This window comes from Homo sapiens, chromosome 6, assembly GCF_000001405.40.
Source record: "Homo sapiens chromosome 6, GRCh38.p14 Primary Assembly".
Taxonomy (NCBI): domain Eukaryota; kingdom Metazoa; phylum Chordata; class Mammalia; order Primates; family Hominidae; genus Homo; species Homo sapiens.
In genome coordinates, this window is record NC_000006.12 from 166,364,344 (window position 1) to 166,390,396 (window position 26,053).

Sequence of the window (26,053 nt, forward strand, 5' to 3'; positions counted from 1 at the left end):
AAATTAGCCAGGCGTGGTGGCAGATGACTTGGTTGTAGTGTGGAAACTCTAACTTAACTGTATAATGTGAAATAAGAAGTCAGGACTATGCTCTTAGGATATTTTCAGTCATTTGGTCAGACCTCTCTGGAGCAGCTCCTAGTTAACAGCTCCATCCTTCCCCTGAAAGTTGATTCCTCCATCCGAGCACCTAGTGCTGCGCTGGACCACGGGATCAGCCCATTCCTGTGGGACTGCAATCTCTGGAAAGCAGCACAATTCTTAGATCACCACAGAAATTGCCTCTGCAACTTTTTACAAAGAGGGAAAGAGAAGCCCAGAACACTCATGTGACTGGCCTGAGTCTCAGTGACTGAGGGGCATTTCTATTAATAACACTTGCCCATAAGAGAAAGAATGCGTTCTGCGTAGCTGGACTGTCGATGCTTTCCAGAAAACACTGGCCTTCCAGCTCTGCATTTCCTCCAGCCATCTTCATAGTTTTCAAGGAGTTGCGTTTTCACCTATAACTGTCTTTTCAGATACACTGTTCTGCAGTTTCCTAGGGAATGCAGCAAGATATTTAATCATACTCATTTAACAAATATTTAAATCATTTATTGCCATTAAGTTACAGCATCTCAATATATACACTGCATGGAAATACACAGGTAACATTTTTAAACAGTGGGGACAAAATTTTAAGTACGTGGCCAGCTGTTGGTTGTCTTGTGGTCATTAAAGACAATGTTAAGAATCAGGAGTACTTAAGTGCTAGTGGTTACAAATTTTGTTCTCTTCAGTTTTTCATTAAGTAAATTCTAATAGATGATATACATATTACTGCAGATAAAACCATCATCAGAAATTATTAAATTAATTGCATATTTTGAGCTACTCTTTATGGAAAGAAGTAAAATATTTAATACTTGTAAGGCAGCAGAGAGTTGGTTTAGAAACTCTCAGCTATTTCTATAAAAATAGAATGGTTAGTAAAAATAGCATTCAGTGTATTTTCCTTAGGGAGGCTATTTATAATGAAATCTGTGACTCAGCAGCAGCTGGCAATGCTGTCCCTTCAAGACCTTGTTCTTCCTTTTCCATTGTTATGCAGATGCCGTTTTAGTCATCCTGGAAAGAAACAAAAAGAAAAATTCAATGAGAAACAAAATTTCAATGCCAATCGCAAGGGCTTTGGATGGCTTTTAAAAGACACCTTTACATAACATTTATTTCAACTTACAACTTATAAAAACAATAATATAGGTTGGGTATCCCTCATCTGAAATGCTTAGGCCCAGACATGTTTCAGATTTTTTCAGATTTCGGAATAACTGGATTATACCAGTTGAACATCCCTAAACTGAAAATCCAAAATCCAAAATGCTCCAATGAGCACTTCCTTTGAGTGTCATGTTGGCACTCTAAAGGTTTCATATTTTGGAGCATTTCAGATTTTTGGATTTGGGATGCTCAGCCTGTATCCTAGTTCATGTTAACTTTCATGGTTTAGTAAGTTGTTTCCCCAACTGCTAAAGCGCATCTATACACACTCCAGTCCCGCAGCACTCCCTCAGAAAAGATTTTAGTTTCACTCTCCCCAATTCCTCAAATTCCTGAAAAGAAAGTAACTAAATTGAAATCTGCTTACTCGTGTTTGATAAGCCGCCCTCCCTGGATGAGCTGGGCTACTTCATTTGTTGCGTGGCATGCAAACAGAAGCCAGTTCCGAGGCTGTACCTTGTAGGCAAATCTCATGAATGTCAAAGAATAGCAACAGAGGGCTGCCAAAAATAGCAGAGCAAAGACAATCAATAACTTAGAAAACTGAGAGGGTTGATAGGACCACAGAGATGAACAGTTCCATTGCCCTGATCAAAAAAGAACCTCTTCTGCGAAAGCCTTTGACAGATAAAAGTTGTTACTTAAATGCCTGTATCAATAGGAAGCTCATAAAAAAATTTACTGTACTGCTATGCATTTTTGTTAATTATTTAAACATTTAAGGAACATATTTCCGAGCAAGAGTAGGCTGAAATTTGTTCTAGACACTTTTTTTGTCTCCTGGAGTTGCTTATAATCCATTCATTATCTGAAAGAATTGTTATTTATTCCCTCCACAATAGTTTTATGTTCAAATATCAGGGTTTCAAGTCAGTTTAATGACAGTTTCCCCCAAAAAAGTTCACAATATAAATCATTAAAGTGACTATTAGAATGATTCAGATGACACAGTCTTCAGTTCAGTGTGCTAAATCTGAAAGGCAAATAAGATGTTACTACTTCCTAGATAAATATTTCTAATTAATCTTGTTTCTTACTGACATAGAGAAGTAACACTCTTCCATGCCATCACATTCTGTATGTGACTTTCTAATAGTGACTGTAACATCTAGTGCTACAATCTTGAAATGCAAGCAGGAGCTCTACTATGTTGAAAGTCCTCCCAATTATCCAAATCTGCATTCTTACCAAATGTCATCCGCCCACTGATAATCTCTGGAGACTTTTTCATATCATTGATGGCAGCAATGGGAAGACCCCAGTTGGCTACTGGGCCCCAGAAGTGCTACAAAAAATGAGAGGAAAAGAATGAAGAGAGGAAAAAGTTAAGACAGAACTATAAACAGCTGAAATTTCCCTTACTTTAAATAATCACGTGAAACTCGTGAGAACAAATCTTCGTTTCCATCTTGCAGGTTTACTGGGTTAATTGATGGTTAACATTTAGGTATTGGATTGTCCAAGTGTTCCTGTAGGAATCAGCAGTTCTTACAGCTGAGCCCAGAGCTAGAAAGGGTTTGGCAGCTTCCCAAGGTCCCTACTGGTTTCCACACTACAACCAAGTCATCTCTGATTGTCCTATTTAGAACATTTAAAAATAAAAATAAGATTCACTTCTTACACAATCCATTGTTGCTATAATTCAAACCCTGTTAGAACTATTCTCCATATTTTTATGTTTAAATCTATCCACACTCCTTTTCCCAAATTTTTATGAAGATATTTGTTAATAATTCTTAAAATGCAGACCCTAAATTGGGTACTTTTCTGAAGAAAGAAGCTTAATAAGAGAATAAATTGTTTTTCAGCTCATATGAGCTATTCTAAGATAAAATAACTTGGAAATCAATGCCCAGGACCCCAGACACTAAGAAATTAAGATTGGAAAGTACTTTTGACATAATAGCAAAAACTTATATTAATATTAAAGAAATGAACCAATAGTTTTTCATTCCACAACTACACTCATCCAAGGATACCAAAGTGAAGTCGTCTGTGTTTGACAGCAGCCACAATCAATTTAATTTTAGAGGCTGAAATAAAATAAGGCTTGTGGCTTTTGTTCATTAAAGATGAAAAATTGTTTCATTAATTTAGAATTTGGAAATAATATTTTCAAATCTGAAAGGAACCACATCTTGTTGGCTAAACACCCCTTTTAGTTATCCTAACACTAAAGAGTAAAAACAGTCTTTGCTTGACTTCTGCCTATCATAATGTTTAGGTTAAATTCAGACTTTGCTTCTACTATTGACGAGGGGTTAAAATCCAAAGATTCCCTAAAAAGTGGTAAACCAAGGGAAATATAAGAAAAATAAATGGGAATTAGATTTGGCATAATAGAATATTTAAAAATGTTTATTTAACATGAAAGCCACAAGGTCATTTAGATAACTACAAAAGGTCAAAGTTCCCACATAGCCATCACCATAAGTATTTCAGGGTTTAACATGTGAGTTATAAACTCTGTAAATTAGGCACAGTTGGTTTAAAGAATCTTGAGATTCTGGGCTGGCTAATTAGTTATCTTGCATTCAGACTGCATGTTATCTAAGATACTCACTACTGCAACTTTCACTTAATTTCTTACATTTAGACGAGGTGACTAGTGGCTCTCAAATTGGACAGCAAGGCTTTGGAGGAAATATTTCTTTGAAAATGACAAGTTGGGTCGGGTGCAGCGGCTCACGCCTGTAATCCCAGCACTTTCGGAGGCTGAGGCGGGTGGATCACGAGGTCAGGAGTTTAAGACTAGCCTGGCCAACATGGTAAAACCCTGTCTCTACTAAAAATATAAAAATTAGCCAGCGTGGTGGCAGGTGACTGTAATCCCAGCTACTTGGGAGGCTGAGGCAGAGAACTGCTTGAACCCGGGAGGTGAAGGTTGCAGTGAGCCAAGATTGCACCACTGCACTCCAGCCTGGGTGACAGAGCGAGACTCCGTCTCAGGGAAAAAAAAAAAAAAAAAAAGAAAATGACAAGTTGGAGAGAAGTACACTCCTGCAGAATTCTATTAACAATGACCCTTAATTTCTTACATTTAGATGCAATATGGCCAGTTTTCTTTTTTCCTTATTCCCCAGACTTTTGTAAGGGAGAGTATCTATCTCTCCCTTACCTACTTACTTCTTTTCTTACCCGTCCTGTTATTGGGTGTCACTTCATTTTTCAACTCTCTATTATTCCATAGTGATCTTCCTTTTCCTCCTTTTTTGACCAGGCCTTTCTCCACTTGGTCTATTTTCATCTCCTTTTCCGTTTACTCTCTTGCCACTCCTCTGCACTGTATGGTGGTGTTGCTGTCTACTTTATCATGCATGAACCCAGGGCTATAAACAGAGCCTGAAGAGTTATTCTAAGAGGGGCATATAAACCACAGTTTCTCTACCACTGGTTGTGAATGTGTCTTCTTTCATAGGTGGGGCTAAAGCAGAAATGGACAATGGAATAAATCTAAACCTAAAGTAGCCTTGGGAGATTCCTGGCTAAGTGATGTTATTAAAAGTTTAAGTATGGGCCGGGCATGGTGGCTCACACCTGTAATCCCAGTACTTTGGGAGGCTGAGGCAGGCGGATCATGAGGTCAGGAGTTTGAGACCAGCCTGACCAACATGGTGAAACCCCGTCTCTACTAAAAATACACAAATTAGCTGGGTGTGGTGGCTTGCACCTGAAATCCCAGCTACTAGGGAGGTTGAGGCAGGAGAATCGCTTGAACACGTGAGGCAGAGGTTGTAGTGAGCCAAGATAGTGCTACTGCACTCTTGCCTGGGCAACAGAGCAAGACTCCATCTCAAAAAAGAAAAAAAATTAAAAAAATAAAAAGTTTAAGTGTGATGAGTGTTAGGTTATAGGAAACAGTTCTGCAAGTTAAGAACTATACATACACTTATGACTGTAAGTGTTGAGCTATACTGAAAATATGTTTCTTAAGAAGAACACGAAAGGTAAAAATCATTTTAACACTAGTTTACTAAAATACCTAACCTTAGAAAGTTTATAATGCATCTTTTCTATCTAGTACAATATTCTAGTTCTCTCTTCCCTTTTTTAGAATACAATTGATTTATGCTGTCAGATATTCAGCAGTCAATTTTGAGAAAAATAAGGAACTTTATTAAAATTCAAAAAGAAATTAACATATGTTGGATTAAATGGAAAACATTTTACTTGATTATAATTCTTAATTGTGCTGAAAAGAAAGTTCCAACAGAATTATACAACACCATCTCCTGTGTGAAAATCAAGCCATGGAAATGAACTCCACCCTACAGGAAAAAATCATCCCACCCTTCTTTTCCTGCTTTCTCTTTTTCTTTCTCTATTTCCTTTCATCGGTTGCTAGGCTCCACTGTGACTGTTATCAATGAAGTAATTATATGCTTGTTTCTAAAAACAGGAGTAGGGAGCAGCCCCAGGAGCATGGCTGTCACAGAGCTCGTGTCTAGGCTCCCCAGGACAGGCCAGGGTGCAGTAGGCACCCTTCACAACCTGCCAGCCATGGCGGCTAGAAAGGCTCTCATATGCAAAGGATGCTAAGCCTGTTACCCCTAACTCTGTTAATGCAGAAAGTCTGCAAAAGCCTGAAATGGATGGAAATAATTTTCTTACCGTACTATTTTGTGAAGAGTCACCGAAGTTCAGACAGGACAGACATGGAAAAAAAAGAAACAAAAATCAAATGATTTTGGTCTTATTAGGTTACTGCAACCTCACACCTGTATTCAAATTTCAGTAACAGGACTACAACGTTAACAGTGTACATTCTTTTATTATTTTTAAAAGATCAAGTAATATTATTTCTAATAAGAACTTTGACTTCATGAAATTAGATCTTAGTTTTATGGAAAATAAGTGCAATCCTTAGAGCAGAACTGTCCAATAGAAATATAATGCAAGGCAGAAATACAAGCCACGTACGTAATTTACAACTTCTAGAAGCCACATTAAGAAAACTAAAAAGAAGGCCGGGGACAGTGGCTTATGCCTGTAATCCCAGCACTCTGGGAGGCTAAGGCAGGAGGATTGCTTGAGGCCAGGAATTCACTATTAATCTGGGCAACATAGTGAGACCCCATCTATACACAAATATATTTTAAAAATTAGCTGGGCATGGGTGGTTTGTGCCTCCAGAGGATTGTTTGAGCCCAGGAGTTCAAGTCTGCAGTGAGGTATGATCACACCACTGTACTCCAGCCTGGGCAACAGAGCAAGACCCTGTCTGGAAAAAAAAAGGAAAAGAAAAGTAGAAAAGTAAAAAGAAACCACAGAAATTACTTGTATTAATATTTATTTAATCCATATGTATGCAAAAAACATTTTAATTTCAAAATGTAATCAATAAAAACTATTCATTAGACCTTTTACATGCTTTTTCATACAATTATTTGGACTCTAGTGTGTATTTTACACTTACGGCACATCTCAGCTTGAACTAGTCACATTTCAGGTGATCAGTAGCCACCTGTGGCTAGTGGCTCTCAAATTGGACAGCACAGCTTTCGAGGAAATATTTCCTTAAAAGTGGTAAGTTGGAGAGATGCATACTGTTGCAGAATTCTATTAACAATGAAACTTTCCCTTCTGCTTACTAACACATTGCACCAGAATGTGAACCCCTGGAGGGATGTATTTTTGTTACTACTGGACTACTTAAAGTAGGGCCTGGCATTTAAACTGGAATTTAAAAAATATTTATTGAATGAATGAATGAATAGTAAAAATGTCAATGCTGTTTTCCAGAATGTTAAATTTAAAAATACACCAAAAACTTATATTGAGTTACTTTTATTTCTGAAATAACAATTTCTCTTGCCAGGATATACCTGAGCTCTTCTCTTAGGGCAAAATCTCAAAGTTGAGCTACTGAAAGAGTTATTGAAATAAAATAATAAAATTGAGCAGTACGGCAGGGGGAAAAATGAAATAATAAAATCCTTTATAAACAGACTCAAGTCCAAAGAATTCTACTAGTTGTTTTGTTTTAGAGAGCACAGAGATTATAATTTGTAACATGAAAATAATTGTTGATGGTGCTAATAATACAGTAGTCCCCCTTATCCTCAGGGGATGCATTCTAAGACCTCCAGTGGATGCTTGAAACCGTGGATAATACGGAACCCTATATATACTATGTTTTTCTCCTATACATACATACCTATGATAATGTTTAATTTATAAATTAGGCAGAGTAAGAGATTGACAACAATTACTAATAATAAAATAGAATAATTATGACAATGAACTGATATAAAAATTTTGAGAATGTGGTTACTCTCTCTTTCACAATACTGTAATATTTTTTTGGACCACAAATGGCCCTGAGTGACTGAATCCATAGAAGGAGAAACTGCAGATGAGGGGGTACTACTATGTGCTTCAGATAGGTTATATTATGAAATATATATCATTCATATATATACAAATATAATTATCCAAATTATATTTCACAGCAAGTACAAACTGACCACAATGCTTTATAGCAGAGAGATTGATAACCTTACCAGATGAGACAGCATAATCTAGCTAGAACAGTCAGTCACCTACGGCATTGCTCTCCTTCAAATACCTTTGTCAGTATCTGAACACTGGCCCTTTAGGTAACTATGAATAACCAAGGGCACATTTTTTCCCTATAAAAATATTTTAAAGGATGTCGTACTTACAATGTGAAGTTTCAACTTGGACATAACTTAGTTTTTCCTTTAGGACTCTCTCCTTAAATCATACAACAGCTTGATTATACCCTATTTTACAACAGATTACAAATGTATGAGAATAAGGGAGATTATAAATGTATGAGAATAAGGGAGAATTACAAATGTATGAGAATAAGGATTAGTATAGATTACACATGTATGAGAATAAGGGAGAATTAACTTCTGCCTTCATACCCTGCTCAGTTCAAAAGTCCTACATGAATATAATCACATTAATTACTGTAAAACAATCTGAGAGTAAAGTCAGTTTAAATATGTCTGTTAAATACAAAACACTACAACTCAACATCCCTCAATTCTAAGTCAGGGTTTTCTAGAATGCATGAATCAACAACTCAATCAAAATATCTGAAAAGCATATTTGTGCAGAACCAAATTAGAAAAAAAAATGCTTCCAAATATGTATTATTACCTGTTTCAAAAAAAAAAGGGGAGATAAATTTATAAGCCACATATAAACTGCAATTTGGGGACAGTAATGCAAAACCATTTAGAAAATATTCTTGATTTTCTCTTTATTTGGTATGCTGCCTTTATTTTCAGTAAAAAAGCAAACAAACACAAAACTCATAGACTTTCTTGGGTTCACTTATGATTTTGAATTCTCATGGAGGAGAAACTATATTTCCAGTTAAAAATTAAGTATTCTGTTTTTTTAAAAAATAAACTTAATTTTTCAGAAAAGTTTTAGGTTCACAGTAAAATTGAACCAAAGTACAGAAACCTTCCATATACACCCAGCCCCGAAACATGCACGCACTCTCCCATTATCTACATCCCCCGCCCATGGTGTATTTATCACAATCACGAAACTTACATTGACACAGGATTGTTACCCAAAGTCCATATCTACATTAAGGTTCCCTGTTAGTGCTGTACATCGTGTGGGTTTAGATGAACATACGATGCCACGCGTCCATCATCATAGTGTCTTACAGTAGTTTCACTCTCTAAAAATCCTCTGTGCCCCACCTCAACCCTTGCAACCACCGATCTTTCGACTAGCTCCATAATTTTGCCTTTTCCAGAACGTTGTGTAGTTGGAACCAGGTAGTATGCAGCCTTTTCAGACTGGCTTCTTTCATGCAGTAATATGAATTTAAGTTTCCCTCATGTCTTTTCATGGTTTCATAGCTCACTTTTTAGTGCTGAATAATATTCCATTGTCTGGAGGTACCACAATTTATTTTGCCATTCACCTACCAAAGGACATCTTGTTTGCTTCCAAATTTTGGCAGTTATGAATAAAACCTCTATAAAAATCCACATACAGGTTTTCGTGTGGATCTAAGGGTTCAACTCCTAGGGGTAAATACCAAAGAATGTGTAAGAAACTGCCAAACTGTTTTCCAAAGTGGCTGTATTATTTTGCATTCCCACCAGCAACGAATGAGAGTTCCTGTTGATTCACATCCTAATCAGCATTTGCCTTTGTCAGCGTTCTGCCTTTTGGCCTTTCTAATAGATGTTTAGTGGTATCTTGTTTTAATTTGCATTTCCCTGATGACATACGATGTAGAACAGTGGTGTCCAATCTTCTGGCAGAGCTTCTTTTCATATGCTTATTTGCCATCTGAACACGGAGAGGTATCTGCTTAAGTCTTCGGCCCATTTTTAATTTAGTTCCTTTCTTATTGTTGAGTTTTGTTTTTGTGGGTTTTGTTGGCTTGTTTTTTTTTGAGAGGGAGTCTTGCTCTGTTGCCCAGGATGGAGTGCAGTGGCATGATCTTGGCTGACTGCAACCTCTGCCTCCCGGGTTCAAGTGATTCTCCTGCCTCAGCCTCCCAAGTAGCTGGGATTATAGGCACCCGTCACCACACCTGGCTAATTTCTGTATTTTAGTAGAGAATTAGGTAGAGGTTTCACCATGTTGGCCAGGCTGGTCTCAAACTCTTGACCTCAAGCGATCTGCCTGCCTTGGCCTCCCAAAGTGCTGGGATTACAGGAGTGAGCCACCGCGCCTGGCCTTATTGTTAAGTTTTAAGAGTTCTTTGTATATTTTGGAAAAGTCCTTTATCAGTTATGTCCTCTGCAAATATTTTCTCATATATTATCTTTTCATTCTCTTGACAGCATCCTTCACAGAGCAAAACTTTTTAATTTTTATGAAGTCCAGCTTATCAATTATTTCTGGGATCATGTCTTTGGTCTTGTATCAGAAAAACTCATCCCCAAACCCAAGGTAATTTAGGTTTTCTCCTAAATTATCTGCTAGGAGTTTCATAGTTTGTGATTTACATTTAGGTCTGTGATCCTTTTTGGGTGAATTTTTGTAAATGGCGTCAGGTCTGTGTCTACATTCGTTTCTGTTTTGCAATTGCATGCCCAGTTGTCGCAGCACAATTTGCTGAAAAGACTGTCTTTACTACATTGTTTTGCCTTTGCTCCTTTGTCAAAATTTAGTTGATTTGGTTTATGTAGGTCTACTTCTGGGCGTCTACTTCCGGGCACTTTATTCTGTTCCATTGATTGATCTGTCTATTCCTTTGCCAGTACCACGCTGTCTGGATTACTGTGGCTCTATAGTAAGTTTGAAAGTTAGGTAATGTCAGTCCTCCAACTTTGTTCTCCTCCTCCAATACTGTGTTGGCTATTTTGGGGTTTACCGCCGTCTCCATTTAAACTCCAAAATCTGTGTGTTGATATCCACAGAATAACGTGCTGGGATTTTAACTTTCACCTATTCACTTAAAAAAAGTACTTTATGGCTTCTCTTTGGCATATTCAAAGTACCAGCATCACTAGTCTTGTACTTTGGGGCCATCATTAAATAAAATGTGGGTTACTTGAACAGAAGCACTGCAATACCACAACAATGGCTAAGTGATTAGGTGGGATGACTAAGTGACTAACAAGTAGGTAGCATCTACAGCATACAGATGGTGGATGAAGGGATGGTTCATGTTTCAACAAGGACAAAGTAGGATGGCATGAGATTTCATCATGCTACTCAGAATGACACAAAATTTACAATTTATGAATTGGTTGTTCCTGAAACTTTCCACTTAATATTTTCAGACCTTAGTTGGCCACAAGTAACCGAAACTGCAGAAAGCAAACTGTGGATAAGGGGGGTGGAGAGCTACTGTATTTCCCTTCTTCTGCTTATTTTCATTCTAATTTGCTTTTTTTTTTTTTTTTTAGTTTTGTAAGGTGGAGGCTTAGATGATTGATTTTAGAACCTTCTCGTTTTCTAATACATGCATCCAATGCTATAAAAATTCTCTCTAATCACTGCTTTAACTGTATCCCACAAATTCTGATAAGTTGTGTTTGCACTTTTATTTAGTTCAAAATATTAAAAAATTTATCTTGAGATTTCTTCTTTGACCCAGAGTTATTTAGAAGTGTGCTGTTTAATCTCCAAGTATCGGGGATTTTCCAGCTTTCGTTAGTGACTTCTAGTTGAATTCCAAAGCACACACCATATGATTTCTAGTCTTTTAAATTGGTTAAGGTGTGTTCTATTCGCCAGAATATAATTTATCTTGGTGAGTGTTCCATGTGAGCTTGAGAAGAATGTGTATTCTGCTGCTGTTACATGTAGCAGTCTACTGATGTTCATCATATCCAGTTGATTCATTGTTTTGTTGAGTTAAATTATGTCCGTACTGATTTTCTACCTGCCGGGTCTATTTATGATGGAGGGGTGAAATCTCCAATTATATTAGTGGATTCATCTATTTTTTCTTGCAATTCTATCAGTTTTTGCCTCATGTGTTTTAATGCTGTAATGGTGCATACACATTAAAGATTGTTACCTGTATTAAGGCTCTCCAGAGAGACAGAACTAATAGAAGATGTATAGCTATAGATACATATACACATACGTGTGTGTGTGTGTGTGTGTGTGTATATATATATAATTTTTAATGGAAATTGGCTTATGCTGTTATAGAAGTAATAAGTTTCACAAGCTGGAGAATCAGTAAAGCCAGTGCTGTAACTCAGTCTGAGTCCAAAGGCCTGAGAACTAGGGGAGCCAATGGTGTAACTCAGTCCGAGGCTAAAGGCCCTGAGAACCTGAAGGACCACTGGTGTAAATCCTAGAGTCCAAAAGCCCAAGAACCTAGTGTTCTGATGTCTGATGGCAGAAGAAAATGGAAGTCCAAGCTCCAGAAGAGAGAGCAAATTGTCTCTTCTCTACCTTTCTGTTCTACTGGGGCCCTCAACAGATTTAATGATGCCCACTTACACGGGTGAGGGCACATCTTCTTTACTCAGTCTACTGATTCAAATGCCAATCTCTTCCAGAAATACCTGCATAAACATGCCCAGAAATAATGTTTTACCATCTATCTGGGTATCTGTTAACCCAGTAAAGTTGACACCTAAAATTAACCATTGCATTTGTCTTTTTGGAGCATTGATCCCATTATCATATGTAATGTCTCTCTTTATCCCTGGTAATTTTCCTTGCTCTGAAGTATGCTCCATCTATAGCTACCAACGCCTTTTCTTGATTAATGTTAACATGGTACACCTATCTCTACCTATTTACTTTTAATCTATATGTGTATTTACACTTAAAGTGGGTTTCTTGTAGACAATGTATATTGAGTCTTATTTTTTGATCCACTTGTACAATATGTCTTTTAATTGGTACTTTTAGTCTACTGATATTCAAAGTGATTATTGATATAGTTGTATTACTATTTACCATATTTGTTACTGTTTTCTATTTGTTGTCCTTGTTCTTTGTTCTTTTTTTGCCTTCCATTCTTTTTCTGCCTTTTATGGTTTTAAATGAGCATTTTATATGATTCCATTTTCCCTCCTTTCCTGGCATATCAGTTATAATTACTATTATTATTATTTATTCTTTTTTTTTTTTTTTGAGACAGTCTCGCTCTGTTAGCCAGGCTGGAGTGCAGTGGCAGACCCATGCCGGCACCCAGGCCACCCTGGAAGCTGGTGCTGCTGCTGCCCACTCGGGAGACAATCAAGGAGCTGATGTGGGCACTGGGCCTGCTCATGTAGGAGGAGCTGCTGAAGGCCCAGGGGCCAGAGTTGAACACCTTGTAGGGCTGCTGGGTCACCCTGATGGACATGGTGGAGGCAGAAGTGGAGGCAGGCAGGCTGAACCAGGAGGAGATTTGAAAAGGAGCAGAGGAGCTGCTTTTAGGTCAGTCTAATTTTTCCAAAATTATGGTAATGTTAGCTTTCTCTGAAAGTACTGAGAGCAATTTAAGTAATTTATAACTTACTTATGTAGTACTAAAAGGATCCAACTGACAGCCTAGCATAGTATATTTCTAACATTATTCAAAGTAAAATGGGATAAAATTTTGAGATATTTTAGATCATAATTCTACAGTTTGCTGAAATTTATTCTTACCAAATTTTGTCTAGTTTTCTAGTTCAAATTAAAATGAGGGAGGGTTTTGACAATTAGAATTTGTGATATTCAGCTATATTTAGCGAGCCAAAAGTCAGCTGAATGACAGTAAAGATCTTTGTGACTGGACTATCCAGATATTAAGAGATTCTTATGGCCAGTCCTGCTTCAACATTTCCAGCTTCATTCAATTTCTGAAAGTCAATTATATGGCAGGGAAGTGCTCAAAGAGTCCAAGGACCGGGTGTGAAAAGCAGTTTGGCAGAGAAAAGGGAGACATATGCAGGAAAACATGGAGCACAAAAATATCTAAAACCTTCTTTTCAAAACCATTTCTATGCATTACTATTTTCCTTTAAATCCCAAGTTGACATTTCTGTTTTAGCTTCACAAGTTTGGTATCCAGAGGTTCTGAAGTTATCTGTTTGGTTCAGATATCAGCCTTCTCATGTGGCAAATGAAGCACTGGAATTTCTAAGGCCTGTTCCAACTCTAATATTCCACAAGTTTGGGAAAGATTCACTTTTATTTTACTGCAACTTCTCACCTGGGTAGTAAGTATAAATTCTGAAAGCTTTCCTGGAGACTCAGAAGTTAAAATTAATTTAGAATACCTGATCAACTTGAGAATATTCAATGCAAACATCCCACTAACTTCAGATTCATAAGCATACTAAGTGATTAACTGATTTTAAAGCACTCTATGATCTAGGTTCTTCTTAAGAAAACATCCTCTGCACACATATACAAATACATGTGTGTGTGTGTGTGTGTGTGTGTATCCATTCACCTTTACTGTAATATACAAACTTGAGAAGAGGAATAAGTCGCTAGAATAAAGCTGCACAGACCTTGATTGAGTTAATCATTAAAATATATGTCCTACCTCAAAACTGTTTTGCTTATTCTAATTTATTCTTCTTAACCAGAAATCCAGGAAGGAGAATGAGAGAAGAGGAAAAGCAAAGAAGAGCTCTCTTTTTCTATTCTGTCAATAAGAAAGGTGAGGGAATAGTTTCTTAAGAAAAAGGTATTGGAATAGAGACCCAGGAAGTTCTTGATTCAAGATCCTAATCAAGGTAAGTAACAAGAGATGGAAGAAAGTACCAAAAAGAGAGTACCAGAAATCCTGGGGATTAAACATGCAATATTAGTTACAATAAAAAATAAATTGAACACTTACTTTTGTCAAGCGCTATACTATGTCATTAAACAGCTACGAAAGCACAAAAGCTAAACAATTTGCCCAAGCTCACAAAGCTGGAAAGCAAGAGCTGGGCTTCAAATCCATCATTCAAACTCATCACCTAGGTTTAACGGTATTATTATCACAATTAACAATTGTCAATAATTATTTAATATTATTTAATACTGAGATCCTATTTAAGTGTTCCGTTATCCCAGTAATGCCTTTTCCAGCTGTTTTTTCACACCAGGCCCAATCAAAGTCCACACATTATCTTTGGTTCTTAGGTGTCCTAAGTGAGAGCCTGTTTCATAACCTCTTTCAGTGAAATAAAAAAAAATCATTTAAAATACATGTGGATGGGCTGGGCACAGTGGTTCATGCCTATAATCCCAGAGCTTTGGGAGGCCAAGATGGGAGGACTGCTTGACACTGGGAGTTCAAGGACAGCCTGGGCAACATAGCAAGGTCCCATCTCTAAGAAAAAACAAAAAACTAGCCAGGTATGATTGTGCACACCTGTAGCCCTAGCTACTCGGGAGGCTGAGGCAGGAGGCTCACTCAAGCCCAGGAGTGGGAGGTTACAGTGAGCTATGATCATGCCATTGCACTCCAGCCTGGGTGACAGAGTAATACCCTGTCTCTAAATAAATAAATACACTTGGAAATTCAGTTTAGTAAGAATGTTCAACTTGATTCATAAAACATGATTGAAATAAATTTATAATCTGTGTAAAATATGATTTTAAATTTATGCTGAAAAACTCAATTATGTTATTAATTTTTAAAATTCTAGAACAGCTTTAGTTGAGAAAACCTCTAGACCCCTTCAGTAGGCTACAAAAAGAATGCAGAGGATGCAAAGTGTGTACAACAGGCAACTGATGAAGTAAAAAGAGGAAGGGATGGAACCTTGTTTCTGATTAGAAGAAAAGAGATACAATGACGTTTTCTGCTTTATATTTTATTCTCCTTTGCTAAAGAAAAGCCGGGCTGTAAGCGTAAAGCTTGGAAGAACAAATAGGAAGTACTTTCCTCTGATATGTTCTAGGAAGAAATGTTTCTCTTTCTAGGGCAGGAAACACTAAAATAAAAAGCTTCTGGTCAGAGTGTTGATACCTGACCTCAAACTGGCCCTCAATCACTGTTTGGCAGACCTAGCATGAATTCCCACTGCTGCCAAGAATGGCAGGGTAAACAGATCAGCTGAATGTTTCACATCACGTGTTCACCTTTCAAAAATAATTTCAGTTCAAGATCATAGAGCTTTATAGCTCACACAAGATTTTAACTTTCTAAATAACTGTAAACTTTAAAAAATGTTTTCGCTTGCAAAAACAGAAGGATATAATAAAATGTAGAGTGATTTGGAGTTTCCAAGTATTTTCACATCCCTTATCCAATTTAATTTTCTTGATAACCCAAAAAGAGCATTATCATTAAACCCATTTGATGGACAAATAAAGTCTGCTGGGATCAACTTGCTGGGGATCCTGGACTGTAAGTCATTCTTCTGAATCTTAGTGTGGTGCTCTACCAGGCAACACTGTTCCGAGTAATGCAATTCTCTTCTTTTCCTTATTTAGTCAAAGTGTAATTGAATTAAATACTGGAGAAAGTATAAAAATTTAAAGCTACATAAAGTTAATTTTAGAAAAAAAGGTTAGATGATATACTGAAGTATCCTATTGAAAAGCCTGGCTCTTGGAAACCCATTTAGTAGAAGAAAATATAACACTTAGAAAAGCAGAACTCTCTTCCTTGAAAATATATTTAACAAATTCTTCCTATGTAATGAAACTGTTAGGGCCGGGCATGGTGGCTCACACCTGCTAACCCCAGCACTTTGGGAGGCCGAGGTGGGCGGATCACCTGAAGTCGGGAGTTCGAGACCAGCCTGACCAACATGGAGAAACCCCGTCTCTATTAAAAATACAAAATTAGCCTGGCGTGGTGGTGCATGCTTGTAATCCCAGCTACTTGGGAAGCTAAGGTAGGAAAATCACTTGAACCCAGGAGGCGGAGGTTTGGATGAGCCAAAATAGTGCCAGTGCACTCCAGCCTGGGCAACAAGAGACAAACTCTGTCTCAAAAAAAAAAAAAAAAAAAAAAAAAGAAAAGAAAACGGTTAAGTAATTATCAGCATAATTTTTATATAGCTAGGTGTCATAACTGTATTTTTAATTTTACCACACAATGTTATCCTTAGCTGTACCTATTAGGAAGGCTCAGTATCCAACACATTAGTAAAAAGCTAAAGTAATATTCAAAGCTGTAGAGAAACTTAACAGCAAGGATTGAGAGCATACCCTCAGACTGCTACCTTGTTCACATTTTTACTACCATTAATCTGATACATTGCTGTGCTCCACAGTGCTAAACACCCATCTTAATTAATAGTAGTTCTATTTAAGCATAGAAATGTCTTTTTTTGAAAGTCAGAAGTGAAGCTTCTGTTTACAAGTTTACCATATGGCAGACTGAATTATTTTTCCTACCCTACTGCTCTATAAAAGTAGAAGTAAACAGTATTTGCAATAAAATTCAGGATTTAAAACTTTTTTATTGCTAAAATCAAGTTGCCTTCATACTATCCCTTTTGTGTGGTTATAACAGGATTTATTCCTCCTCAGCTTTCATCTCTTTACCTCTTGACCACACTATTAACTACCGAAAAAAAACCGCAGCTGTACACGTACCTAGGTTTTAAAATCATACACTGAAAAACTAACTAAAATTACACTCCTAAATAACCTAAAACTGCTTCAAAGTTATATTCAATATTTTGAAATAAAAGCAAGCGCCCCAAGATGAGAGGTGCAAATAAATTATAGAAAGTGTATTTTCAGGCTTTCCAACCGCGAATGCTCTTTGTTTCTAACTGGAAAGGAGGAGTTAACAGAAAATAGAACAAGAAGAAAAAGTATGACCTTAGAGACACGTCACTTTACTTTGGTTGACAGAATTTCGTATATAAAAACATCTTAAATTGTACTTCCTCCCAAGCTTAAAGTCCTTAGAATGAGAAAACCGAAAGGCGAACCCAAGGCCAGCACATTTTATTTCCGCTGTCCCAGAAGCGCGCTGGGCGCACCCGAAGCTCCGCTCCAACAGCGCCGCGCCGCGCTCTCAGCAGCGCCTCCCGCTGGCGTCTCCCCACCCCACACCCAGGTCGCCGCCTCTGGCACACCTGGACGGCCGCAGGTGACCGGCGACCCACTCCGAGGATCTGGTAGAAACCGGCCAGGAAACCACTCCCGCCCGGAGGAGCGAGCCACTGTCAACTGGCCCGGAGGGACGTGCCCACTGCCAACCATGGGAGAGGAACGAGCCTCTGTCACCCCTGCCGGGTCACCCTGCCCTGAGGGGCGCCCACTGTCACCCCTGCCGGGAGAGGCGTCCCCATGGTCACCCTGTCCTGAGGAGCGCCGTCGCTTTCGTCCCTCCAGGTCCCCACTGCCACTCTGGCCGGGAAGGGCGTCCACTGTTATGCCTACCAGGAGAGGCGTCCCCAGTGTCACCTTGGCCAGGAGGGACGCCCACCGTCACCCACTCCCTGAAGGGGACTCAATGTCACCCCTGCCTTGAGGGGCGCCCACTGTCACCCTGCCGGGAGAGGACACCCACTGTCACCCCCGCCCTGAGGAGCGCCCACTGTCACCCTGCCGGGAGAGGACACCCACTGTCACCCCCGCCCTGAGGGGCGCCCACTGTCACCCCCGCCCTGAAAGGCGCCCACTGTCACCGGCTCTCTACGCCGTCCGCTTCGGGGTGTGGCGGTCCGGGAGGGATCCGGGTGGGGCCCCCCTGACAAGCGCACCCTCTCGCCTGGGCCCCGGCCCACCCGCTGCCCGGGGCCACCGCGTCCTCGCGGCCGCCCTCGTCGCGGACTGCACGGGTCGCAGCCTCCCGGGAGCCCCTCCGGGTTGCGGGGTTCGGCCTGCGGCGCTCGTCACCTCATGAGGTAGTCCCGGAAATCCTTGCTTCGGACATAGTCCGCCGCTTTCCGCACCAACGCGCCCGCCATGGCTGTGCCGACACCAGACCCCGAGTGGTCCCTGCCTCTGCTGCCGCTTCCCAGAGCCAATGACACCCCGGCCAACCCCCCGGCAGCCGACGGCGAGCCAGCCCGAAGGCCCGCCTCACGACACCCGGCCACGCCTTACGGCCGCGCCGCGCCGCCCGGCTCTCGGCCAATGACAGGGCGCAGGGCCAGAGATGGTGGCGCGGACTGGCTGGCTCGTGCCGCACGCCTCCTTCCCGCCCTCGGTGGCGCACGGGGGCGGGGCCCGCTGCCGTAAAACGGCTGGGGCTGGGCCGGGGCTGGCAGGCGGTTGCTAGGCTCCAGCGGCTCCCGGCCAGCGGGGACGTGGAGGTGACATTTCTCTGACCCACAGGACTGTGGGCGCCCTGCCGAGCGTCGCGCGGTCTTGGGGCGACCTGCAGTGGGGCCCCTGCGGCGCAGCGCGCGGTGGGACTGGCCGGGTTCCCGCGCCGCCCAGGGCCTGTGTCTGCGCCGGTTCCTGGCAAGGGCACCTTGGCCGGGCGGCCCGCGTCCCCTGCGCTTCCCACACCCACGTGGGCGGACCCGGCCCGCAAGCTGGGCCAGCCTGCGGTTTCCGGGCACTGGGGAGTGCGCAGAGCCCCGGGCCAGCGACCGCAGCCGGGGCCCCTGGCTTCTCCCGAGCACTTTCCCCCGGACCGGTCCCTCCAGGGTGGCGGGCGGCACCCAGGGCCGGCGCTCCTCACCAACGCGCTGCAGCTACGGGCTCAGGAGGGAGCCGCAGCGTCGGAGGAGGAAAGCATTTAAGAATAGCACAAAGCCTTAGGCTCGAGGAAGCGTGACTGCTTACGTGTTGAAAATAAAGGTTCTGTAAGTCCCACCGCGGGTGCATATTGAAAAGAAAGGGATCATTAGCACGCGACCCTCGCCTAGGAGTATATAAACCGCAGCACGACTTTCGGATCACAAAGGCAGAGAAAAGAACACATTGAAGGCTTTTGCTCACTTTTCCAAGTTGTTTCGTTTCGTTTTGTTTCTAATGTGGACGATCATTTAAAATGCCTCTGGTGGCCGGGCGCGGTGACTGACGCCTGTAATCACAGCACTTTGGGAGGCCGAGGCGGGCGGATCACCTGAGGTCAGGAATTCGAGACCAGCCTGGGCAATACGGTTAAACCCCCTCTCTACTAAAAATAAAAAAATTAGCTGGGCGTGGTGGCATGTGCTTGTAGTCCCAGCTACTTGGGAGGCTGAGACAGAAGAATCGCTTGAACCCGGGAGGCGGAAGTTGCAATGAGCCAAGATTGCGCCATTGCATTCCAGCCTGGGCAACAGAGCAAGACCCTGTCTCCAAAAAAAACAAATAAATATAACAAAATTCCTCTGGTAGCCGGGTGCGGTGGCTCACGCCTGTAATCTCAGCACTTTGGGAGGCTGAGGCAGGTGGATCACTTGAAGTCAAGAGTTTGAGACCAGCCTGGCCAATATAGTGAAACCTCATCTCTACTGAAAATACAAAAATTAGCCAGGCGTGGTGATGCGCTCCTGTGATCCCAGCTACTCGGGAGGCTGAGGCGTGAGAATCGGTTGAACCCGGGAGGTGGAGGTTGTAGTGATCCGAGATTGTGCCATTGCACTCCAGCCTGGGCAACAGAGGGAGATCCTGTCTCTAAAATAAAAAATAAAAGAAATGCCTTTGGTGAACAGGAATTCTCAACATTAGTGACCCGCAGTGTATTAGTGTTAATAATGGACATCCCCTTTGATCCAGCAAGCCCATCTAGAGATTTCCTAGGATAGACAAGCCAGTTTGTGCAATTTCATGTGTACAGCATTGTTTTTAGTATGGAAAGATTAGAGTTTACATATCTACCCATAGGGAGAGAGTTAAATAAATTATGGTGCATCCGTTTAGTGGATTAGTATACAGCCATTAGGAATAAAGGAATTCTTTATGTGCTGATATGAAATATCTTTTTTATTTTCAAGAAAAAAACCCAGGTTCTGAATAGTGTATAAAGTATGCTACTCATTGTGCATAGGGACAAAGAAAATATATACATTCATGTTTGCAAAGATACTGGAGAAATGTTAGTAGTGGCTGCCTCTAAGGATGACCAAGAGTGACACTGACTTTTCATTGTATCTTCCTTTGTTCTTTTTGAAATTTGTACAGTCTACTTATGCTATCTATTCAAAATAAGTGGTGTTAAGAAGAAATGCCTTTGAGAATGAAAATGGTAAGCCCTTGATTGAGTGGGGTTCATTTTCTGTTAGGATCGTGGTCTCTATTGGTCACAGCTGACCTTGATCGTCACTGAAAGTGTATCTCATTACACAATATTGCAGTCTTGAACACCAGGAAGGTTGTTCTGTTCCACATGAACATGCTTCATGATGGGGTTAGGAATGTACAACCTGTGAAAAGTGAGGGAGTCTTGATTATTAATAATAATATTATTAATAGCTACCTTTTCTTGATCATTAGGCACTATTTGTACATTATTTCTCCTTCTCACATCAACCCAGAAGGTAGGTATAAGGAAACTGAGTGGCTTCTTGAATGAAGCCAAACTGCTCTGCAAGATTGGTGGAAAAGGAGACTCTCCATGTGCTAACAGGTTCCTGGATCTCATAGCTGCTCTGTCTTAGCCCTTAATATGTTTCTTTTCCTCATGGATGGTGGTTCTGAAACCTGAGCTGTCAGAAGAATCCTTGGCAGATTCCTAGATCCCAGCCTCAGACTCAGAAGGTCTGGAGTTGGGGCTGAAAGCTGCGTGGCTAATGGGCACTGCAGGTGACTCTGAGGCTGCTGGTCAGTGTCTAGCACTTGGAGAAACTCTACTGAGGGCACCTGCCCCTAATGCACTGTTGCCACCACTGGGCTGGGGTCAAGAGGCTTTACTTCCCACATTTGGGCCTCAATTGGGACCTCTGAGCTTTCCACTAGTTTCCGTTCCATGAAGGAGTACAAATTGGAGTATGTAAAGACAAAAGACATACGTAAGTGGATAATTTGGGTTTGAACTAAGTTCTCTGCGACTCTCAAAGCCATACTTCCCCCATGTTGCCACAAAAAGTATTTGTTTCATGTTGCCATGTATCTCTTACTTCAAATATGAAGCAGGAATGTGATCTAAAGCATAAGAACATAGCAATAGATAGACCCATGTACATGATTTCGTAAAACTTTAGAAAGGCCAGTCCTACATGGTTTGTCCATATTTGGACGGTGTGTGGAATGCACAAATGAAAGCATCACTGGCTATTCTGAACCCCAGGTTTGTGGAAGTGAGTGTAAAGGCCCAGCAGTGAGCCCCAATCTCACCTGCCCATCAAAGTTCAGAAACGACAATCAGAATAGGCCGCACTTGGCGCTTCCCTGTAGACACAGGATCTGTGAGTTTGGACAGATTTCTGGTCAGTTTGGAAGGAAGCTGGCCTCTGTTAACAGAGCACCCCTTATGGGTCAGTGTTGTGCAGGCAGTCCACATACACTGTGTGTATGCGATGACAGTGCGTCTGCTTGTAGAAGGGGCTGGGTCCCCTCTGCAGAGCCTCCGCATGGGGCTGCATGACTGGTTCCGGCCGACTTGCTGGGGAGCGCACAGCCTGTCCACAAAGGGAATCTTCATCCTTCCTGATCTGTAGAGCCATTTGCAATGCGTGATGGCAACTGCTTAACTTCAGTTTTCGTCCCTGGGCCAGAGATTTCTGTGCCCTGGGATAATAAACGTATTATCTAAAGAGCTTTTATTTCTTTCTAGAGAATAAGGAAAATGATACTCTGCAGAATTTCTATTTCTTTTGTAATTATCTCAGGGGAAGGTAGTTATTAAGTGTTCACTGATTAGGATTAATGTTTCCAATTTTTGTCAAGAACAGAATGTATGTATTACTAATTTAACCATAATTTCAATCAAAACTGTGTCATTAAAAATGTTGGCAGTCATGCATTTCCTGCATGGTTATGAATTTTTTCATGTATCTATAGTATTTTTCTAACAGTCTAATTTTAATTCATTCACTTTCTCACGAAAATGTATTTTTTTTCCATTTCAGCATGTAGTACTTGTGTTACCTTTTCACGAGGCCCACACTCCTCCAAGGAGGCTGCTGATTGTCTCTAAACTGATTACCTCCATTTGTTCTTTCCTTGATCTTACAGTGTCCATCAGCTTCCTATGATTGAAGAAAAGCTTCCACTTGTAATAAACCAACTTCTCTCATCCAGTTATCAACATAGACCAAAAAAAAAAAGAAAAAAAAAAGGCCAGGCGCAGTGGCTCATGCCTGTAATCCCAGCACTTTGGGAGGTCAAGGTGGGCAGATCACTTGAAGTCAGGAGTTCAAGACCAGTCTGGCCAACATGGTGAAACCCTGTCTCTACTAAAAATACAGAAATTAGCCGGGAATTGGTGGTGCGCACCTATAGTTCCAGCTACTCAGGAGGCTGAGGCAGGTGAATCGCTTGAATCCAGGAGGCGGAGGTTGCATTGAGAGGAGATCATGCCACTGCACTGGGCGGCAGAGCAAAACTCTGTCTCAAGAAGAAAAAGAAAAAAGAAAAAAGCGGAGTCGTTCTGTGAGTGAAAACACTGAATTCCACCGGTTCCTGATCATATTGCCTTTATTTCATTCATTCATTCATTCTGGAAATGGGGATAAATAGCCCGTTTGTCTTTCCTGCAGGTTTGTTACGATGGTGAAGGCAATTTAGAAGGAACTATTTAGTGGAGGATAAAAGTGTTTTGTAAATGTTAAGATGCATTGTTTTGTTTCTGTCCTGTTGCCCAATTTTCTCTCAGCCCAACACCTGCCTCTATTTGGTTCTTAGGTTACACATTAATTCCATTTGCTTAGTAATTTAAAGAATGTACTGTAGTACACCAATAAGCTAACAAACTCGGGCCCTTGACCCCAAGTCACCAGTGTCACCTAGATTCAAAAACCAATATAACGAGTCAAGTATGAATGCACAATATTTTAGCTAAGCCCTTCCTGTCCCACCTCTAATGAATCCACATGCTGCCCCAGGGCTTGGTACATGCTGTTAAGTAAGCAGCTTTGCTCCCTCCTGCTCCCTGTTTTTGTCTTAGGTTGGTTTCAGTCCTTCCACTGTGGATGGAGAAGTCACAAAGAAATGGTTTTGCAGGCAAGGAATCTTTACTCTGTTTAGCAACTCAGTAACTTGCTAGCAAATAAATGGCAAAGGGTCAAAGGAAGTGGAAACATCACTATTTTGCAATCCCTATTGAAATGAGGGATTCAAGCAGCAATCATCAATAGAAGCCAAAATCCTCCTTTGACGGGAACTGGATAATCCCAAGTGCTGGACTGTCGCCCACAGATTCTCCGCTGCTGGTCATGAGGGGAAAAGTGCTCAACATACTATACAGGCAGCTTACCCAACCCCTCTGTCCCCAGGAGCTGGGAGCAGGGAGAAATAGTGAGGAGGTTTTCATGGTCAAATGTATTTAGGAGACTTATTTGAATCAGGCAATTACTTAATTTCTGCAGCTCTTCTGAGAGCCTTTACTAAGCTATGTGAATTGTGATACCGCAAGAGGAACTCTCACCATGTAGCATTTCCCAAATTTTTATTGAGACAGAGTCTCACTCTGTCACCCAGGATGGAGTGCAATAGCGTGATCTCAGCTCACTGCAATCTGCTTCCCAGGTTCAAGTGATTGTCATGCCTCAGCCTCCCAAGTAGCTGGGATTACAGGCCTGTGCCACTATGCTCAGCTACTTTTTGTATTTTTAGTAGAGACAGGGTTTCACCATGTTGGCTGGTCTGGTCTCGAACTCCTGGTCTCAAGTGATCCACCTGTCTCGGCTTCCCAAAGTGCTGGGATTAGAGACGTGAGCCACTGCGCCTGGTCCTCCCAAACTTCTTTGAACATAGAGCCCGTTTGGAAGGTGGATTTGTGGGACTAAGCCTCCCAGGGGCTCCGGTGGCTGTACGCCCTGATGGCTGTGCACCCCGACCGCTGTGCACCACGACAGCTTCCATGCCTTCCAAGCTGGGGGGTGCCATGGGAGGGCTCAGAGCCTCACCCCAGGCTGGATGAGCTCGACTGCTTTGTAGCTGCCTGTATGTGGCAAGTAACTAACACTCCCTAGGCCTCAATTTTTTAATCTATAAAATGAAAGCAGTAAATGTCACATCATATAAGTTGTTGAGTATTTATGAGAATTAAAAGGAATAATCGCCATAAAAGGCCTGATACTGCCAATCATATATTGGACAAATATGAATTTCCCTTTTTCCCTTTATTCTACTTTATGGCAACTCCTACCTACTATTCTCTTTCTTTTGCTACTAAGCAGACATATGGGTTTGTTTGTTTGTTTTATCAGGGAGAGGTTCTAAATGTTGTACCCTTTAACCCTCAAAGCATTATCTATTCTCTTAGAGGGTAAAGGGCAGAGATGTTATCCCTATTGGTTTCTAACCTTGGAGAAGGTCAGAAACGTCATGAGCTCTCTCTAGATCCTCTTATCTGCTTCTCTTACACAATCGTTTGGTTCTGTGTGTGGTGAAAACTGAATTGGGGGAAAATCAGATCGGCAGAAACCAAATGTTGAACCAACTGGTGAATAGAGAAATACAGATTAAGTATCCCTACAATGGAATATTATTCAGCAATAGAAAGAAATGAAGTATGGACCCATGCATGGAAGGATGCAGGGGTGTTTCCTACAGCATAGAAGGACCTTGAAAACACAGGGCTAAGTGAGAGGAGCCGGACAGGAAGGATCATGTATTGTGTGGTCTGCTCATGTATGATCTGCTCACATATTGTATGATCTGCTTACATGAAATGCCCAAGGTAGGCAAATCCAGAGTCAGGAAATAGGTCGGTGGTTGCCAGGGACAGGGACTTTTGGGGGAAAATAGAGAGTGGCTGTTAACAGGGACCTGCTTTCTTCTAGGGTGATGAAAATGGTCTAACATTGATTGTAGTGAGGGTTGTGCAGCTCTGTGAATATGCTAAAGAACCATCGAATTGGACACTTTAAATGGGTGCAAATTATATTCCAATAAACTATCTGTAGAAACTTAAGAGTTTATTATTATTATTATTTTGAGACGGAGTCTTGGTCTGTCGCCCAGGCCGGAGTGCAGTGGCGTGATCTCAGCTAACTGCAACCTCCGCCTCCTGGGTTCAAGCGATTCTCCTGCCTCAGCCTCCTGAGTAGCTAGGACTACAGGTGCATGCAACCATGCCCGGCTAATTTTTTTTTTTTTTTGTATTTTTAGTAGAGGCGGGGTTTCACCGTGTTAGCCACGATGGTCTCAATCTCCTGACCTTGTGATCCGCCTGCCTCGGCCTCAGAAAGTGCTGGGATTACAGGCTTGCGCCACCACGCCCGGCCCAAAACTTAACAGTTTTAAAAAACCTTTAAAAAGATACATAGAAAGAGAGCAAACAAAACAATCCCCCTCCCCCCACCACCAAAGTCTTTTGTCTTAATCAGCGCACTAATTCTTTGGGTAAGTAAAGGGAAGAGAGCTTTTATCTGTATGAACTATTTCA

The 26,053-nt window shown here is 41.3% G+C and overlaps 1 protein-coding gene and 1 long non-coding RNA gene across 13 annotated transcripts, besides 3 other annotated features; one reads left to right on the forward strand and one right to left on the reverse strand.

Moving 5' to 3' along the window:
* MPC1 (mitochondrial pyruvate carrier 1) lies at positions 576–18,597 on the reverse strand. Of its 12 annotated transcripts, none has more exons than NR_073093.2 (6): positions 18,463–18,597; positions 5,875–5,878; positions 4,390–4,618; positions 2,452–2,548; positions 1,631–1,763; positions 576–1,110 (listed from the first exon to the last, which is right to left on the reverse strand). NR_073093.2 is itself a non-coding variant. In NM_001376565.1 (6 exons), exons 4-6 carry the CDS (start codon positions 2,492–2,494, stop codon positions 1,086–1,088), a joined length of 201 nt encoding a protein of 66 aa, NP_001363494.1. In that variant the 5' UTR covers positions 2,495–2,548; positions 2,626–2,841; positions 4,402–4,592; positions 18,463–18,597; the 3' UTR covers positions 576–1,085. The 12 variants fall into 12 exon arrangements, 7 of the variants coding, with proteins under 7 accessions (NP_001363494.1, NP_001257808.1, NP_001363496.1 ...); NM_001376565.1 differs by lacking the exon at positions 5,875–5,878 and adding an exon at positions 2,626–2,841 and having other exon boundaries at positions 4,402–4,592; NM_001270879.2 differs by lacking the exon at positions 4,390–4,618 and adding an exon at positions 2,626–2,841.
* Positions 17,740–17,919: an enhancer, noted in NCBI's record as "active region_25433". NCBI's record gives its function as "activates an Ori minimal core promoter by ATAC-STARR-seq in GM12878 lymphoblastoid cells {active_cell/tissue: GM12878}" and the evidence as "EXISTENCE:reporter gene assay evidence [ECO:0000049][PMID:35858748]".
* Positions 18,280–18,379: a silencer, noted in NCBI's record as "silent region_17776". NCBI's record gives its function as "represses an Ori minimal core promoter by ATAC-STARR-seq in GM12878 lymphoblastoid cells {active_cell/tissue: GM12878}" and the evidence as "EXISTENCE:reporter gene assay evidence [ECO:0000049][PMID:35858748]".
* Positions 18,530–19,269: a silencer, noted in NCBI's record as "silent region_17777". NCBI's record gives its function as "represses an Ori minimal core promoter by ATAC-STARR-seq in GM12878 lymphoblastoid cells {active_cell/tissue: GM12878}" and the evidence as "EXISTENCE:reporter gene assay evidence [ECO:0000049][PMID:35858748]".
* On the forward strand, positions 18,835–23,273 carry MPC1-DT (MPC1 divergent transcript). The gene has a single exon (NR_189630.1). It is a non-coding gene; the product is annotated as an MPC1 divergent transcript (long non-coding RNA).

Bases quoted from the DNA above. Each gene is read 5' to 3' on its own strand.
- MPC1 (NM_016098.4), bottom strand. From the start codon at position 18,533: ATGGCGGGCGCGTTGGTGCGGAAAGCGGCGGACTATGTCCGAAGCAAG. The intron at 1,764-2,451 runs GTAAGAATGCAG...TATTTTTGGCAG, and splicing joins CAGTGGGCGGATGACATTTG to CCCTCTGTTGCTATTCTTTG. The intron at 1,111-1,630 runs GTAAGCAGATTT...GTTTCTTTCCAG, and splicing joins GGGCGGCTTATCAAACACGA to GATGACTAAAACGGCATCTG.